This window comes from Homo sapiens, chromosome 7 (assembly GCF_000001405.40).
Source record: "Homo sapiens chromosome 7, GRCh38.p14 Primary Assembly".
NCBI classification, from domain to species: domain Eukaryota; kingdom Metazoa; phylum Chordata; class Mammalia; order Primates; family Hominidae; genus Homo; species Homo sapiens.
The window spans coordinates 87,056,189-87,075,315 of record NC_000007.14 but is presented as its reverse complement, the minus strand read 5'-3'; the positions used below and the strand labels follow the sequence as shown (position 1 = coordinate 87,075,315).

Genomic DNA, 19,127 nt, shown 5'->3' with positions numbered 1-19,127 from the left:
TATGTATTTTCACATTTTGACATACCTGACATCTGGGTGTTTCCCAGGAAGCAATGTCAAAACAAACAAACAAACAAACAAATAAACAAACAAAAAAACCCATGCCCTAGCTTCTGTGCTTCTTAGTGGTCGTTATCTTTGTAAGTGATAATACAGTCCTATGCGGTAGCATTCAGATGCTTGCATTTAAGTTTGAATCCCTAATGTTGCTTTAGCTGTTTTACAGAGAGATAACATTATAATGCAGAGCTGAAAGGAGACATTATTTTGTACAAAGAAGAGCTAGTAAATGCCAAAAATGAAATCAAAGGTAGTAGAAAATTGCCAAATCTATTGTCTATATTATAGCATTTCAAAGCCAGAAAAGACTGCATGACAGATTTGTGGTCTTAAAGGATTATTATTCAGGTGCCAAACATCTATCTATCAAAAGCTTCTGGATAACTTTCAAGAGAAGGTAATTCACTTGCACTGATGAATAATTCAATCAAGGAAAAAGTGAAACTCAGTTTAACTAAATGGGAAATGCAAACAAAACCTAACAATAATACTGTTGATCTTAAAGATGCCCAAGAGGTCAATCTCACAAGCACGGATTACAGAAAGCAACATGTCATGCTGCCTACCGAAATCAATTCAGACGACTCGTAAGACTGAGTGGGAAGATACTGGAACTAAAATTTGACTTTGAAAATGCAGAAAGTGTTATACATAATTACATGAATAAATACATGGTATCATGAGTATGGAGACAATTTAATGTATACCTAATTTAGTGTTTTGTTTCTTAAAACATAATGAATATGTACAAGAAAAATGGCAATCACTAATATCCACGATAGATTTATAATATTATCCCTAAATTACTTCACATTAATACGATATTCTTTCTTGATAGAGTTACCATATGTGAGCTGGGATGACAAATCTATATTTCAGTAGGATACTTAAAAAATTCCTTGTATCCTTGTGGACAAATGGAGAAATATGGACTGGATGATAGTGTATTAGGGGTTGAATGATTGTGTTCCTAAGGTCTGATGAGTGGATTGAGGGCACCTGGAAAGAGGTTTTTAGTGGCTTGTGGATCAATCTTTCCTAGGCCACCTTTCATGTGGTGTAATTTGTTGGTAACTTGAACACATGGAAGACTTTCTTATGAAATTTGCAGTTGTAAAAAAAGTAGCAGGGATAAAAATACTTTAGATGATGAAATCAGCATCTAAAAATTTTGACAGGGTAGAGTGATGCACTGAATGCAGTAAGATTAATTTTGTAAGAGATAAATATAAGATCCTGAACCTGCGTATATAAAGTAACCTTGTTCGGATAAGTTAGTTATTAATTTCTAACCATTTTACTACACCTCTTGTTCCCTCAGTTTCCCTTTGTATAAAATGGGAATAATAATTTTTCCCATTAGAAGTAAGGGCTCAGCACAGTGCTGGCACATGAGTGCTCAATAGGTGTTAGTTACCAGTTTTTCAGAAATCCCGGGCTAGAATCCAAATTTTGCCACCTATGGGGTATTTGACCTTGGGTAAGGTGCTTATTTTTTCTCAGGTTTATTTCTCTCATTTGGAAATGGGGATAAAAATAGGACCTACCTCATAGGTGGTTGTCAGGAGAATTAAATGAGATGATGCATGTGAAGAATCTTCGAGGTGCTTGGCACATGAGTGCTCAATAGGTGTTAGTTACCAGTTTTTCAGAAATCCCGGGCTAGAATCCAAATTTTGCCACCTATGGGGTATTTGACCTTGGGTAAGGTGCTTATTTTTTCTCAGGTTTATTTCTCTCATTTGGAAGTGGGGATAAAAAATAGGACCTACCTCATAGGTGGTTGTCAGGAGAATTAAATGAGATGATGCATGTGAAGCATCTTCGAGGTGCTTGGCACCTGGGGAGCTCCTAATGAATGTTAGCAATTATACTGAACATTAGTGTGACTTCTAGAAAATCCACCTTGACATTGCACTGCAAAAATAGAGCTATAACCACTGTAAAATAAGGGAAATTATACTTCTACTCTACTCTGTTACAGACTAAAGCTGTGTTGTTACGTCAGAATGTAAATTTTAAGAGGAATATTAGACAATTGAGGTGCATATAAAATCAAATCATGTGAAAAATGATGGAAGAAATGGAGGATGTTTATCCTAGAGAAGAGAAGATTAAGAAGGGAGGAAGCTCTCCAAAGGATCATCATTGGAAGAGAAATGAGGATTGTCCTCTGTGGACCCTAGAGTGAGAATTATGACAATAGGAGACAGGTTTTTGGCTCCTCTGAAAAAAGACTTTTTTTCCCTAAACTGAGAGCTGTCCAAAGTTAGAATGACTGCCATGGAAAATAATGATTTCTTAGTCACTGAATTTTTTTTAAGGCTGAAAAGCCATTTGATGGAGAGTTGCAGAGAGGATTCAGGGATTTGAGATGGGATTTGGCTCAGTGATCTTTAAAGGCCAATCCTTCTCTAAGGTTCTGTGGTTCTGTAGCTGTTGACTTCCTCACAATGCTTAACATTTAAAACCTTTTGCAAAACTTGTGTCCAGTCACCTACCCTTTTCTTTCAGATTATTTGAAATATTCCACACTAAGTAAGAATTGAATATCCCTGACCTTTAAGGGCTAATATTTATTTCCTTCATTGCTCTTATCTGAGATATCCGGGTAAATGGATTTGCAGAATCTCTGCATGCCAATCATGCTTGCATTTCCTTTACAAATTGGGAAGGTGATAAGATGCTTAAAGAATTGTCAGGTTACAGGATTTCTGATGGCTCAGCTTTAATATCCCATAATGTTCCTATCCCGACTGTCAATATTAATTAATAGACATGCAAATATTGGGTGCATAGGTCACAAACTAGTCATTGCAGGGCATTCTTTGAACAATGTATGTCATAGGAAAAAATTGTATTGATATTTACTATTGCATTCAGTATAGCATTCTGCTTCCAAGTAGTTTAATTTTTCCCTGTTTTTATATATATAAATGAATAAATCATGAGTGGCACTGAAGGAAAATGGAGAAGGGAAGTCCTCTAATGGGTACAACCAGGTGTACTTTGCCTGGAAGAAGGTCAAATCTATACCAATTCCTGGGTAGAAATTAAATGTCTCTCCATATAGCAAAGGACTTTGAAGGAATAGGCTTGTCAGCTTGCTGATAAGAAAGATTGGAAAAAAAATTATGTGACTGAACCTCTTGAAATGGGCCCAGTGTGAGAATATTAGTGTCCCATGTGAATTTTCACCAAGTGTTCAACTATCAGGTCAACCAGATGACCCATGTGGTTGATGTCAGTCAACTTCTTCCTTCACCTCACTGTGTCAATGAGCTCATAAACGATGTTCCATCATAGCAGCAATGAAGACTGTGCATGCCTCAGTAACAAATTACTTGCCTCTCTTCAACCTGGCTGCTACCATGGCTGAATGCTCGATCTGCCAGCAATAGAGACTAATAGTGAATGCTCAATAGTGTATGATATAATGAGGGGACCAGCCTGCCTTCTGGTTGATTATATTGGGTCCCCTCCATTATGGAGTGAACAGTATTTTGTACTCACTGAAATAAACACTTAATCTGCATATGGTTTGTATGGGTCACAATCAAACTAGTTATGGCAGGGCATTCTTTTTGGGCTACCATGCTGCTTCTGTTGACTTAATGGATATCTTATTTACAGTATGCATTTTCACACTATTTTCTTTTAATCAATCAAGAGACTCATTTTACAGCAAAATAATTAAGACCAATGCTCTTGGGTTTCCCTTGTATTTCCAGAAAACCTTCACTCAAAAACAGCTGGCTTATGGCATAGCAGAATGATCTAAGGAAGACTTACTTATTGTGCCGGCTGGGAAACAACACCTTTTGACTTCGGGAGGTGGGAGGGAGTTGTCCTTTAGAATAAAGTACATTATCTGAACTAATGACTAATATATGATGCTCTTTCTCCCAAAGCCAGAAACTGAGGAGTGAAGTGGGGTGGTATTTCTCATTTTAACACTGACTGACCAATGCATAACATTTTTGCTTTCCAAATCTATTTCTTTGTACTCTGCTAGTTTGGAGGTCATAGTATTCAGTGGAGAAACGCTTCATCAGGGGACACAGTTGAACTGGAGGTTGAGTGAGCTAATTGGCCTTTTGGGGTTTCTCTTGCCAATGGGCCAGGAAGGAAAAAAACAGTTTCCAGTGATGATTTACTATGATTTTCTATGATGGAGCTCAGGGATTCCTCTGGAGCACCACCTAGTATTGTAACAAACAGTGATAAAAGTTAATGGCACTTTGGGAGGCTGAGGCAGAAGGATCACATGAGCCTAGGAGTTTAAGACCAGACTGGGCAACACAGTGAAACCATGCCTCTATAAAAAAATTAAAAACATTAGCTGGACATGGTGGTGCATGCCTGTAGTCCCAGCTACTCAGGAGGGTAAGGTGGGAGGATCACTTGAGTCTGGGAGGTCAAAGCTGCAGTGAGCTGTGATCGTGCCACTTCACTCCAACCTGAGTGACAGAGGGAGATCCTGTCTCAAAAAATAAAAAAAAGTTAAGGGAAGACTACAGCAACCCCTTTAGTTAGGTCCACCAAGACTCAGACCACTCAGCAATTAATCCCACCAGATAAAGAACCATGACCAAGTGAGATGCTAGCTGAACACAAAGGGACCATGAGGGAAGAAAGTTATCATACCAAAGATGATCTCAAAAGCAATCGCACAAATGAAAATGTTTGTAGCTGCTCAAATTTTCTTCCTGGTTCTTCTATGCATATAATTATATTAGTGATTTTCCTCCCTTGTTTTCCTACTTTTTCCTAATGCCTACAAAACCTAACATATTGTCAACTTTAGTATTCATTAGGTTTCATTTCTTTTCTAAATGTTTAATTTTTAAATAAATATAAAGTAAAATTAACTTTTTGGTATACAATTCTATGAATTTTAACATACGTGGTAACTACTATCACGATTCAGATATAAAACAGTTTTATCACCTCTAAAAATTTCCTTTATCTCTCTGTAGTTACATCTTTCCACTGTCACCCCAACCCCTGACAACCATTGATTTGAAGCACTGTTTTGTCTTTTTGAGAATGCCATATAAATGGAACCATACAGTAGGTAACAGTTTGAGATTGGCTTCTGTCCTTTAGCATAATGCCTTTGAGATGCATCTAAGTTATAATGTGTGTCAATAGTTCATTCCTTTTTATTGCTGAATAGTATTGCAAATCTCTAGTTTTTAATATAGGATGGATTGGTGATAGTGAACTTCATAATTTACCCAATAGATTTCAGAATATCCAGATGGATTGTCACTGAACTAGAAGAGAAATGAACATCATGCAGATATGGAAATTTGAATGCAGGAATAAGAATGTTTATGTATATTGAGTAGCAAAATGGTGAAGTGCTGCAGAATTGCAGTTTGATTCGGTTTTTTTTTTTTTTTTTGAGACAAAGTCTCACTTTGTTGCCCAGGCTGGAGTGCAGTGGAACGATCTCGGCTCACTGCAAGCTCCACCTTCTGGGTTCAAGTGATTCTCCTGTCTCAGCCTCCTGAGTAGCTGGGATTACAGGCCTGTGCCATCATGCCTGGCTAATTTTTGTATTTTTAGTACAGATGGGGTTTCACCATGTTGGCCAGGCTGGTCTCGAAGTCCTGGCCTCAAGTGATCTGCCTCCCTGGCCTCCCAAAGTGCTGGGATTACAGGTGTGAGCCACCCTCCCCAGCCTGCAGTTTGTTTCTTTTATACTCATTCCATCCCACTTTTAGTAAAAGTTCTCAGAGAAAACTCCTGATCTAGGAAGATGCTGGAGGTGCATCCTCTCCTTGGCGGTTTCGGACTCTACTGGGGATATACTGGCTTAAATAATTTAGGAAGGGAACATATATAGAAATATACCAATAAACTTGCCAGATGCTTTAGGTACATTAACTCATTATGTATTAACACATTAACTCATTGTACACTTACCCTATAGTGACAAGTATTTTTAGCTCTAAATTACAGGTGAAGAAACTTAAGTCAAGGGTGATTATGTTCCCAAGATCACGCAGACAGTAAGTAAGTGGAGTTTCAATTTAAAATGCAGGTTTGTCTGACATCACGTTTGTGATGGTTAATTTTATGCATCAACTTAACTGGGCTAAGGGATGCCCAGATAGCTGGCAAAACATTTCTGGGTGTGTCTTTGAGGGTGTTTCTGGAAAAGATTAGCATTTCAGTCAGTAGGCTAAGTCAAGACCTGCCCTCACCAAAATGAGTGGGCATGCTCCAATTCATTGAGGGCCTGAATAGAACAAAAAGGTGGAGGAAGAACCAGCTGTCTCTCTTTTTGAGTTGGGCTATCCGTCTTCTCCTGCCCTCAGAGCTCTTGGCTCTCAGGCCTTCAGTCTTGGACTGAGAGTTACACCACTAACTCCCTGGTTCTCAGGGCTTTTGGCCTTGGACTGAATCACACTACTGGCTTTCCTGGGTCTCTAGTTTGCAGAAGGAAGATTATGGGACTTCTCAGCCTCCATAATAGAGTGAGCCAATTCTCTCTCTCACTCTCTCACACACACATATCTTATTTGTCCTGTCCCTCTGAAGAAACCTGACTAATACAACATTCTTCTTGAATATTTCCACAACCTCTCACAGTAGGTTAAACTCTATATCCAAGTGAAATTTTTTCTCCTTTAACTATAAATAGTTTTGTTTTGATCCTTGAGGAAAATGGAGAGCAAGGCAGATAAATCCCTCTGGTGAGAGGCTTTCATGGACTCAGAGAAAGCAACTCAAAACACCTGAATTTAGCCTTTCCTCATGTGACCCATTTTCCATTTGTTGAAATCATTCTTTTGTTTTCTTTAGAATCCTATTTATCCTCCTCAATTCTCCATTCTTCTTTCCCTACAGTTATTTAAAATATGGTGACCAAATGGATGTACAAAAGGTAGAAGTATCATACTTCTTTTTGATATGTCCCATCTTTCTTGTTTTAAAAATTGAACTAATATATATTTTCTAAAAAAATTCGGAAGTATGGAAAAGTATAATAGAAAAAAACTAATCCATACATTTTGTCCAGAAAACACCATCTTTGCTAGTCATCTGGCCTATCCTCAGTTTTTCAAATATGATTTTTAAAACCTAGTTAAGACTATATTCTATTTAATAATTTAAATGATATTTAAAAAAAATAGAAGAGGGTAATAAAACTCCCTAAGGGGGTGAGCCCTAGAATATGACTGCCTGTGTTTGAAACCCAACACTATCTTTTCTGAGAAACTTGTGCCTTTATTTGCTCATCTGTAAAATGGAGATAAGAGTACCTATCACATAGGGTTGTTTTTGAGGGTTAAATGAAGTAGAACTTGTAAACATCTTAGAACAGCAATGGCATATATTAAGTGCTCAATAAATGTTAGCTATTGTAACTGCCATTCAACACTCACAACAAAACAATGATACAGCATTCAAATTTGCTTCAGATATTTCTTTCTTCTTTTCTCCATCCCTTTCATCCTTTTTCCTTTTGGAAATAAAGTATTAATGATGCTGGTGAAGCCCCTTTTACATTCCTTCCCAATATTATTCTCCTTTCTTCTCCTTGAAGCAATCAGTATTCTGAAATTGGTTTGTATCCTGCTGTCCATGTTTTTATAATTTTACTACATTGGATGTATCAATTGTGTATAAATTTTGTATCATGATTTCCCCCATTTAACTGAAAGCATTTTCATAAGCATTTCCCTGTCAGACACCTTTCATAAAATAATTCTTTGGTCAGGATAATATACATTATTTACTTTCCCTAGTATTAAATATTTAGGTTTCATTCATTTTCTTTTACAAAAAACATGGGTGAATATTTTGTCCTTGCATATTGTTCTTACATATTTGTATAAATCTTTGATGATTTCTTCAGGTAGAATTGATTGGCATCAAAGAATACAAACATTTTTAGTAATTTGTAATGATTATAAAAATAATATGTAATTATGGAAAAATCAAAAACACAGAGTCTGTAAAAATGAAAGGAAAAATATCTGTTATGCTAGTATTAGAAGATAATTACTGCCAACAGTTTGGCTTATTTCCTTCTAGTGATATTCCTTCCATAAAGCACACTTAAACTCTTCCCCAACCCCCTGCACATCATACTTGAGGATACACTGTTTATTATTTTACTTTTTAATTTCAATGGTTTTGGGGGTACAAGTGGTTTTTTATTACATGGATAAGTTTTTTAGTGGTGATACCTGAAATTTCAATGCACCTGTCACCTGTGCTGTGTATATTGTACCCAATATATATAGTCTTTTATCCCTCACCTTACCAACCTTTCCCCTTGAGTCTCCAAAGTCCATTACATCACTCTTATGCCTTTGTGGAGGATATATGTTTATTAGGATTTGTTTCCAGCTTTTTCCATTAACATTATATCATCATATTTCCTCAATTCATTTACCATTCTCTAGTAAATGTAACTTTTAATACATACATAATCCTACCACATGAAGCAGTACAATTTATTTAACCATTCCTCTACTTTGGGGCACTTAGGTTACTTCATTTTTAATCATATTAAAGGATAGTGAGTATTCTTGTACAGAAACTTTGTGCTCCTTACCTACCAGTTCCTTAGAGTCCTGGATGGAAAAATTACTGGGTTAAGGCATAAACATATTAAAGGCAGTTAATACACATTGCCAAATTATCCTCCAGAAATATATGTTCTCCTGAGTGTATAATCCACAGCATACATTTGCCAGAATTATTATCTCTTTGCTAATTTGATACAGAAGACACGTTACATTGATGTTTTCATTGATGGTTTAAAATTAATTTAAAAATTTGCTACTTGAATTCAATCAGATTATTTTTTTCTGATTTTGTTTGTGCTTAGTCTTTTAAAAATTGGGGTTATTAGACTGGCAAATTGGATAAAGAGTCAAGACCCATCAGTGTGCTGTAATCAGGAAACCCATCTCACGTGCAGAGACACACATAGGCTCAAAATAAAAGGATGGAGGAAGATCTACCAAGCAAATGGAAAACAAAAAAAGGCAGGGGTTGCAATCCTAGTCTCCGATAAAACAGACTTCAAACCAACAAAGATCAAAAGAGACAAAGAAGGCCATTACATAATGGTAAAGGGATCAATTCAACAAGAAGAGCTAACTATCCTAAATACATATGCACCCAATACAGGAGCACCCAGATTCATAAAGCAAGTCCTGAGTGACCTACAAAGAGACTTAGACTCCTACACATTAATAATGGGAGACTTTAACACCCCACTGTCAACATTAGACAGATCAACGAGACAGAAAGTCAACAAGGATACCCAGGAATTGAACTCAGCTCTGCACCAAGTGGACCTAATAGACATCTACAGAACTCTCCACCCCAAGTCAACAGAATATACATTTTTTTCAGCACCACACCACACCTATTCCAAAATTGACCACATACTTGGAAGTAAAGCTCTCCTCAGCAAATGTAAAAGAACAGAAATTATAACAAACTATCTCTCAGACCACAGTGCAATCAAACTAGAACTCAGGATTAAGAATCTCATTCAAAAACGCTCAACTACATGGAAACTGAACAAACTGCTCCTGAACGACTACTGGGTACATAACGAACTGAAGGCAGAAATAAAGATGTTCTTTGAAACCAACGAGAACAAAGACACAACATACCAGAATCTCTGGGACGCATTCAAAGCAGTGTGTAGAGGGAAATTTATAGCACTAAACGCCCACAAGAGAAAGCAGGAAAGATCCAAAATTGACACCCTAACATTACAATTAAAAGCACTAGAAAAGCAAGAGCAAACACATTCAAAAGCTAGCAGAAGGCAAGAAATAACTAAAATCAGAGCAGAACTGAAGGAAATAGAGACACAAAAAACCCTTCAAAAAATTAATGAATCCAGGAGCTGGTTTTTTGAAAGGATCAACAAAATTGATAAACCGCTAGCAAGACTAATAAAGAAAAAAAGAGAGAAGAATCAAATAGACACAATAAAAAATGATAGAGGGGATATCACCACCGATCCCACAGAAATACAGACTACCATCAGAGAATACTACAAACACCTCTATGCAAATAAACTAGAAAATCTAGAAGAAATGGATAAATTCCTCGACACATACACTCTCCCAAGACTAAACCAGGAAGAAGTTGAATCTCTGAATAGACCAATAACAGGATCTGAAATTGTGGCAATAATCAATAGCTTACCAACGAAAAAGAGTCCAGGACCAGATGGATTCACAGCCGAATTCTACCAGAGGTACAAGCAGGAACTGGTACCATTCCTTCTGAAACTATTCCAATCAACAGAAAAAGAGGGAATCCTCCCTAACTCATTTTATGAGGCCAGCATCATCCTGATACCAAAGCTGGGCAGAGACACAACCAAAAAAGAGAATTTTAGACCAATATCCTTGATGAACATTGATGCAAAAATCCTCAATAAAATACTGGCAAACTGAATCCAGCAGCACATCAAAAAGCTTATCCACCATGATCAAGTGGGCTTCATCCCTGGGATGCAAGGCTGGTTCAATATACGCAAATCAATAAATGTAATCCAGCATATAAACAGAACCAAAGACAAAAACCACATGATTATCTCAATAGATGCAGAAAAGGCCTTTGACAAAATTCAACAACGCTTCATGCTAAAAACTCTCAATAAATTAGGTATTGATGGGGCGTATTTCAAAATAATAAGACCTATCTATGACAAACCCACAGCCAATATCATACTGAATGGGCAAAAACTGGAAGCATTCCCTTTGAAAACTGGCACAAGACAGGGATGCCCTCTCTCACCACTCCTATTCAACATAGTGCTGGAAGTTCTGGCCAAGGCAATTAGGCAGGAGAAGGAAATAAAGGGTATTCAATTAGGAAAAGAGGAAGTCAAATTGTCCCTGTTTGCAGACGACATGATTGTATATCTAGAAAACCCCATTGTCTCAGCCCAAAATCTCCTTAAGCTGATAAGCAACTTCAGCAAAGTCTCAGGATACAAAATCAATGTACAAAACTCACAGGCATTCTTATACACCAATAACAGACAAACAGAGAGCCAAATCATGAGTGAACTACCATTCACAGTTGCTTCAAAGAGAATAAAATACCTAGGAATCCAACTTACAAGGGATGTGAAGGACCTCTTCAAGGAGAACTACAAACCACTGCTCAATGAAATAAAAGAGGATACAAACAAATGGAAGAACGTTCCATGCTCATGGGTAGGAAGAATCAATATCGTGAAAATGGCCATACTGCCCAAGGTAATTTATAGATTCAATGCCATCCCCATCAAGCTACCAATGACTTTCTTCACAGAATTGGGAAAAACTACTTTAAAGTTCATATGGAACCGAAAAAGAGCCCACATCGCCAAGTCAATCCTAAGACAAAAGAACAAAGCTGGAGGCATCACGCTACCTGACTTCAAACTATACTACAAGGCTACAGTAACCAAAACAGCATGGTACTGGTACCAAAACACAGATATAGATCAATGGAACAGAACAGAGCCCTCAGAAATAACGCTGCATATCTACAACTATCTGATCTTTGACAAACCTGAGAAAAACAAGCAATGGGGAAAAGGATTCCCTATTTAATAAATGGTGCTGGGAAAACTGGCTAGCCATACGTAGAAAGCTGAAACTGGATCCCTTCCTTACATCTTATACACAAATTAATTCAAGATGGATTAAAGACTTAAACATTAGACCTAAAACCATAAAAACCCTAGAAGAAAACCTAGGCATTACCATTCAGGACATAGGCATGGGCAAGGACTTCATGTCTAAAACACCAAAAGCAATGGCAACAAAAGACAAAATTGACAAATGGGATCTAATTAAACTAAACAGCTTCCGCACAGCAAAAGAAACTACCATCAGAGTGAACAGGCAACCTACAAAATGGGAGAAAATTTTTGCAACCTACTCATCTGACAAAGGGCTAATATCCGGAATCTACAATGAACTCAAACAAATTTACAAGAAAAAAACAAACAACCCCATCAAAAAGTGGGCGAAGGACATGAACAGACACTTCTCAAAAGAACACATTTATGCAGCCAAAAAACACATGAAAAAATGCTCACCATCACTGGCCATCAGAGAAATGCAAATCAAAACCACAATGAGATACCATCTCACACCAGTTAGAATGGCAATCATTAAAAAGTCAGGAAACAACAGGTGCTGGAGAGGATGTGGAGAAATAGGAACACTTTTACACTGTTGGTGGGACTGTAAACTAGTTCAACCATTGTGGAAGTCAGTGTGGCGATTCCTCAGGGATCTAGAACTAGAAATACCATTTGACCCAGTCATCCCATTACTGGGTATATACCCAAAGGACTATAAATCATGCTGCTATAAAGACACATGCACACGTATGTTTATTGCGGCATTATTGACAATAGCAAAGACTTGGAACCAACCCAAATGCCCAACAATGATAGACTGGATTAAGAAAATGTGGCACATATACACCATGGAATACTATGCAGCCATAAAAAATGATGAGTTCATGTCCTTTGTAGGGACATGGATGAAATTGCAAATCATCATTCTCAGTAAACTATTGCAAGAACAAAAAACCAAACACCGCATATTCTCACTCATAGGTGGGAATTGAACAATGAGAACACATGGACACAGGAAGGGGAACATCACACTCTGGGGCCTGTTGTGGGGTGGGGGGAGGGGGGAGGGATAGCACTGGGAGATATACCTAATGCTAGATGACGAGTTAGTGGGTGCAGCACACCAGCATGGCACATGTATACATATGTAACTAAACTGCACATTGTGCACATGTACCCTAAAACTTAAAGTATAATAATAAAAATAAAAATAAAAATAAAATAAATAAAAATTGGGGTTATTTATACCACAATCTGATTTAAGTTAAAAAAGAAAATAAATCTATTTATATAGCATCATTTTGGCTATGGCTTTTGTTGATACAGCTAAGGCTTTTGTTGACTTTTTAACAAAATTCAGTTCAATTTTCAGGTATACACTGCACAAATAAAGTGGAAAAATGATTATTACCTAGTGATTGTAAGCTATTTCAACCCATTCTTGCAAAAATTTCATTATGAATTTTCTATTAAAGTATATTTTTATAAAACTATCTTTAAGAGTAAATTTATTGATCAGATAATCACAAACTTTGAATAATTTGCTATTACATCCTAAAATAACAGGTAGAAGAGGACCTTAGAGTCTTCTTGAAATTTCCTTTCTCTGTCAGCCTTTATGCTGATTTTAATTATCCAAGGTCAAGATCTTTTTTATGGATGGGACAACTATGAGAAAAGTATTTATTGAAAGTGGCAAGTTGTCCTACTCTGGAAAATCTACAATTGTCATTTGATCCAAGTGCATTGACTGGACGACTCTTATTTTTATAAGGAAAGAAGCTGTTTTCAATTTAATAGTCATGTTGTTAGTTCTTTCTCAGATGACAAAAATCATAACATAATTTGACTCCTAAAAATTCCACATGAATTAAAGAATAAAGCATATAAAAAGGAAATAATAACAAAATATAACAAAATAAGAAAACATAGGCATCTGTATGATTTTGCAGAGATACGTGTACTTCTAGATATAAAAAAGGAAGAAATCACAAAAGAAAATGTTGCTACATTTGAATACCTAAAGATGACAAGCTTCTGCCAGAAAAGCTATCAGAAGTAAATTTAAAAGACTACAAAAAAGTATTTGTAAGATATATGATAAACATACACAAAGCTTATGAAGATTGCTAACGAATCAATAAAAAATGGAACTTCAATAAAATGGCTAAAGTGTGCCAGTGAAAAATTCTCACACCCTGACATGAGAAGGAAAAATGCAAATAGCTAGTAGATATATATAAAAAATCACTCGATGTCACCAATGATAAAAATACATTTTAAAAATAATAGCTTTTGTCTCTTCTACCAAAATGATAAATATCTGAAGTATTATAATCTAGGGTGATGTGAAATAAATACTCATAAACTGCTGGTAACAATTGCTACAAATTTTTTGGAAGGAATTTGTACACTATTCGTCAAAAACTTTAAAAATACACATATCATGTGATCCAATGTTTTCACTTCTAGAAAGTTATCATAAAATATTTAAAGATGCACACAGATTATGTTCCAAGGGCATTCTTTCCAGAATTATTAATAACACTGAATCCTTAAACAATGCCTAATATCTAATAGTAAATTACATGTATCTAAAGAGTAGAAAATATTTTACAATTATTAAAGTTGTGTTGTTGGAGACTTTAATGACTTGAGAAAATATTTATGTTATTAAGAATAAAAATAAAAGCAGGTTACAAATTATTATTCCAGTTTTGCAGTACACACAGAGTTAAAAAAAAAAAAGCAAGGAAATTCCTCAACATGTTAATACCATTAACAATGTTATCTCTGGGTGGTAGGATCTCTAGTTATTTTTATATTCTTCCTGATACTTTTCAATATTTTCCAAAATGTTTACAAATAACATATATTGTTATAATCAGAATATAGGTGTGATACACAAATCTATATGTGTATACATACACACAAACACACATATACAGAGACTTTCATGTGGAAATTTTGTTAAAAGGATATTAGAGATAATGCCACAAACAAATGTGCCACAGGCCAACTTATAATGAGTGGGCCACGTGGATTTGTCCAGATATTCAATAATCAGAAATTTGGATGCTTCTTTTGAAAAACACAATAACTCACCCATTTACAGAATCTGAGATCAAGAAGGGATCTTGAGATCCTTGCCACTGAGGAAGGCCTTATGTCCATCTTGTTCACCATCACCTAGTTCAGTATGTTTTTGAATGAAAGAAAAAACGAAGAGCACCTCAATCATCGCACAGATGGAGAAACTGTTTCCTCCAGAAAACACAGGGCTTAATGCCCAATGTTACACATCTCCACAAAATAACACCAATAGCAGCAATAATTATGGCTACTACTACCAACACATGTCACCTACTGTGTGCCAGGCACTCTTCCAAGTGCTTTATGTACATCAACTTACTTAATCCTCATAATAATCCTACGTGGTGGGTATTATTTTCATTAAATAGGTGAGAAAACTGAGTCACACACCACGTCTACACCTCAGTCCTCTTTCTTCCCCGCCATTTCATGCACACCCTAACTAGAAATTCGATCTGACGCTAGCCAGCATGGATCCTTACAAGGGATGTTCCGAGGGCACATCTGCGTGTTTGTGTGCAATGAGGAAAGTGGCGAGCTTTTTAAAGACCCACCGCCAGAAAACAATGTCCTGATGTCCTGTATTTACTCTGGCTTCATCCCGGGAGCGCCCCTCCCAGTGGGCCACGGGGACCTGAGACAGGCTACTCCACGGGGTCCCCAGCCTCTCTCGCCCTCTAGCGCGAGGCGAGCGCCGCGCAGCCCCTGGGGACCCGCCGGGCTGGGCCGCAGCCCCCGCCCGCGCCACCTGCTCCCCAGCTCCAGCGTCCCCGCCCCGCGTCCCGCCCCCGCGCCGCGCCCGCGCCCCGCGGTCCCTCCCTCCGGCGTGACGGGAGCATCGGCGCTGGCTGCCCGGGCCGCGAGCGCAGCAGAGCTGTCAGCGGGCGGACGGGCAGCGGGTGACGGAGCGGCGAGACGAGCGCACAGCAGTCGCGGCCCGGGAGCCGGAGCTGCCGCCGCACCCCGGGAAGGCTGCCTTGCCGCCGGCCCGCCGACCGCGGCCGGACGAAGATGCTGTTCCGCGCCCGGGGGCCGGTACGGGGCAGGGGCTGGGGGCGGCCGGCGGAGGCTCCCCGCCGCGGGCGCTCGCCGCCCTGGAGCCCCGCCTGGATTTGCTGCTGGGCGCTCGCCGGCTGCCAGGCGGCCTGGGCTGGGGACCTGCCCTCCTCCTCCAGCCGCCCGCTTCCTCCTTGCCAGGAGGTGAGCAGCACCTGGTCCTCTACCTGGAGTTTGCTGGGGGAGGGCGCGGAAGATGAAGGCTGAGAGCGGTTCCTGTTTATTTCTGTTTGCCATCCCCTTTTCCTTTGCTTGGAGAACAGGGGCTTTCGTTTGCTTCGAGGGGTGAAGTTGCCCGCCCTGGTAGCTGGCCCGGAGAGGGTGTGTGGCTTCGCTGTCTCTCGGGGGATGCTTTTCTGTCCGCGCTTGTGTCTTTTGGGGGCTCTGCAGGACTTTGCGGCGTCCTTTTTGGACAGCCAGGTTTGAGGACCTGGGGTCGAGGGAAAGATTTCAGGAAGGGGAGGAGACTGGGGAAGCCCCACCAGTGGGATTTGAAGAACCATCTCATCACAGCTTTTCCAGAGAGCCAGACACAGACACCAGAGGATTTCCCGCTCCTCCTCCCCCTGTCTCCACTCCCCTGTCTCTGCAAACGCCTTCGTCCTACTCCCCTGCCCTCAGCTTCCTGATTAAGGCCCTGTGGGTTTGCTAAGCCAATGTATGGTGTCACTTAGCATCCTTCTGACAAAATGTGGATTTGAATTTGGGGGGGAAAAAAAAGGAGTATGTACTTGGTAGAGAAGATGCAGGTTGATGATGGAGAAAATTAGAAAAGACAGTGAATATGCTTCTTTTGGGAGGTGCTTTATCACCTGGCTGAAGTATTGCCGCGGTGTATTTTATAGCTTGTAATCATTGTTGTTTTACAGCCAAAAAGGATAAACTATGGGAGATGAGATTTTTATCTGGCTTTTAGAAGAACGAGACAGTGTGCCAAAAATTTACAGGGGGTGTCATTGGTTCTTGTATTGGGTGTTTATCTTTCCATTTAGTGTTCAGAAAGTGCATCCTCTTAATGAAAATCAATGAGGGGAAGGAAGCAACATTTCTGACCTACTTTGATTGTGTTGGGAGGATATATGGAATAGATACTGTTTTTAGGAAGATTGTTAGGAATCAGGGCGATGGGTCGTTTTAATTAATGTAGCAAAAATAGGTTAGCCAATAGCCCCTCTGGGAAGAAAGGCCAGACCCTCTTGTTTGTGTATGTTGCTCTAACTTCTGAATTTTACCGAGACTTGAATTACAGAGTATCTGTGTTCTACACATCATCCATCATCTATGGATTTTCGTCTTTCTCTCCTACAGTACAGGTCCCAGGACAGACTGAAATGAAAGAGAATCGGATCAAAGGCTTGTGTGCGAACACACAGCAATGTTGTAATTGGGGAAATCAGGGCAAGAGCTCAACAAACAGCTGTGTTTAATTTTAGGGCTTTTTAGTATAATGAGCTTAATCTATATTCTACAACTTTACATATCACCTGGGAATAATCCATTATTCCAGGTTTCCACAGAAAGCTGCTTCTTGGACATCTCAGATTGAACAGTTGTGACAAGATAAACTTTATCCTCCAGCCCCCAACTTCTAATATGCAGAATATATTTTTCTAAACTGAAAAGTCTTAAGCTTCTGATAACATCGATTCTTAGTAATGAAAATCTGCTTGAAGTAGGCGAAGGTCAGGGTCAATAGAAGTGATGCCTTTGGTCTCTACAACTAGACTAATCTTTTAGATGAACACATGTCCTACACATGTATACCTAGAAAGAAGAGTCTGCAACCTAAAACAAAGATTGAAAGGAGGGGCAGAGAGATGACAGAAGGTTCAGGAAGGCTGGGTTCACTTGATCACAGGTCCTTACTGCATTGGCTTTAGAAATTGCATGTGACTCATCCGTTGAGATCTGAAATTTACATTTTCCTTCTGAAAAATGAGAATAAATAAAATATATAGGAGGACGCTATTGAGCCTGCCTTTGGCTGTATGTTTTTATAAATGTTAATGCACAGATCCATTTATGTTCTTCCTGATGACTGACAAGTAAGAGGAACTAATGGGAGTTAGAAGTTCTTGGAAGTAGAAGAGGCCTAGTGACCTCCCAGGGGTTGAATCTGTTTGATATCTGGTCTAACCAGTGGAGCTAATTTACAGAATTGGTCATTGTTTTTCTCTGACATTGTTTTTAAGAGGAAAGTGGGGAGGGCAAGTTATTTTCAGACTTTGAAGGTAAAGGAATGTTTGTGCTGGGAGTGGGGAAAGGGTATCCTCTTGAGCTCAGCCCTTTCCTCTGAATACAGTTATGGGATTGTGGGCTAAACGCCTGTGAATAAAGACACAGTTAAAGTAACTACTCTGTGTTCACTCCTGCTCGTTTATCATTTTCCACTTTTTGTTAACATTAAAGGAGGCAAATGCCACAAAGGACAGACTATGCAGTGGGGAACAGAGTGAGGGCAGTTAAAGTGAGGAATTTTCAGGCTGAGAGCTAAAACCAACTCTCAATGTGAGAGAATGTTGAGGAGTATAGAAAAAGCTATAGGCCATTTTGAACCTCATTTCCCCCCAGTAGTTTGTGTCACCCTCATTTATTAATATTTTTGTAGAAGTAGTCATGTTTAACAAAGTTACATAAACTCTGATTTTCCTGCCTGGTTTTAGAGGAAAGCAACTAAAGGAAGACAAATGCAGAGAACTGGCCTGGGAGTCATCCAGTTATAATTGCCTGAGTTCAGAAAAAAGGCCCTTCAAAAACTAGGTTATGGGTAAAAGTTACATTTAGATTTTTGCAGAGGAATGGACTCTGGGGTGAAACTCATAAAATACATATTCCTTTGTCAAAGTCTTTGGATTATGAAGTCGAAAGGGGGAGAAAAGTTATTGTGTTGGAATGTTCAGCTGGTGATCAGATCAGCAGTGTGGAAGCACACGCACAAACAGGAAGCGATCATTTGGGAGACAGAAATAAAAGGAAAGTCAAAGTGCTGGCAGATGAAGCACAAGAATAGGATGTGACTTTGGAAAATGGTATTCAAAGGAAATAAATGAGGCCTGGACATCAGAAAGTATAGAATTCCTCAGGTTTTTGTATGGGGTGAACTTATAAAAGGTAAATCTTCTTTGGGTTTCTTGGCCTGTGTTTCACTTATAAAATGTTATTAATGAAACATGACCAATTATTTGTATTATGAGGATGAAATGAGATTAATATAAGATAAAGGAGAAATATAAATATGAGGGCTGATTATTGCTAGATTAGTAGAGCTAGATCCTGATAT

At 38.7% G+C, this 19,127-nt stretch overlaps 1 protein-coding gene across 5 annotated transcripts in view, besides 4 other annotated features; it reads left to right on the top strand.

Moving 5' to 3' along the window:
* Positions 6,417-6,617: a silencer, noted in NCBI's record as "peak6624 fragment used in MPRA reporter construct". NCBI's record gives its function as "represses an SCP1 promoter by STARR-seq MPRAs in K562 erythroleukemia cells {active_cell/tissue: K562}" and the evidence as "EXISTENCE:reporter gene assay evidence [ECO:0000049][PMID:32103011]".
* Positions 15,385-15,774: a silencer, noted in NCBI's record as "silent region_18342". NCBI's record gives its function as "represses an Ori minimal core promoter by ATAC-STARR-seq in GM12878 lymphoblastoid cells {active_cell/tissue: GM12878}" and the evidence as "EXISTENCE:reporter gene assay evidence [ECO:0000049][PMID:35858748]".
* The window catches only part of ELAPOR2 (endosome-lysosome associated apoptosis and autophagy regulator family member 2), a 182,749-nt gene continuing 179,283 nt past the window's right edge, over positions 15,662-19,127 (top strand). For 4 of the 5 annotated variants that reach the window (XM_011515921.2, XM_017011843.2, NM_001142749.3 and 1 more), the window contains exon 1: positions 15,662-15,991. Coding sequence is in view for 4 of the 5 variants with exons in the window: in XM_017011843.2 (XP_016867332.1) it covers positions 15,803-15,991 (189 nt within the window). In the remaining variant the exon portion in view is untranslated. The remainder of the gene's footprint in view (positions 15,992-19,127) is intronic. The other variant, XM_011515918.3, reaches the window with a different exon arrangement.
* Positions 15,865-15,934: a silencer, noted in NCBI's record as "silent region_18341". NCBI's record gives its function as "represses an Ori minimal core promoter by ATAC-STARR-seq in GM12878 lymphoblastoid cells {active_cell/tissue: GM12878}" and the evidence as "EXISTENCE:reporter gene assay evidence [ECO:0000049][PMID:35858748]".
* Positions 16,200-16,700: an enhancer, noted in NCBI's record as "H3K4me1 hESC enhancer chr7:86687932-86688432 (GRCh37/hg19 assembly coordinates)". NCBI's record gives its function as "activates a minimal SCP1, AML or CMV promoter by ChIP-STARR-seq in primed H9 embryonic stem cells {active_cell/tissue: H9 hESC(primed)}" and the evidence as "EXISTENCE:reporter gene assay evidence [ECO:0000049][PMID:30033119]".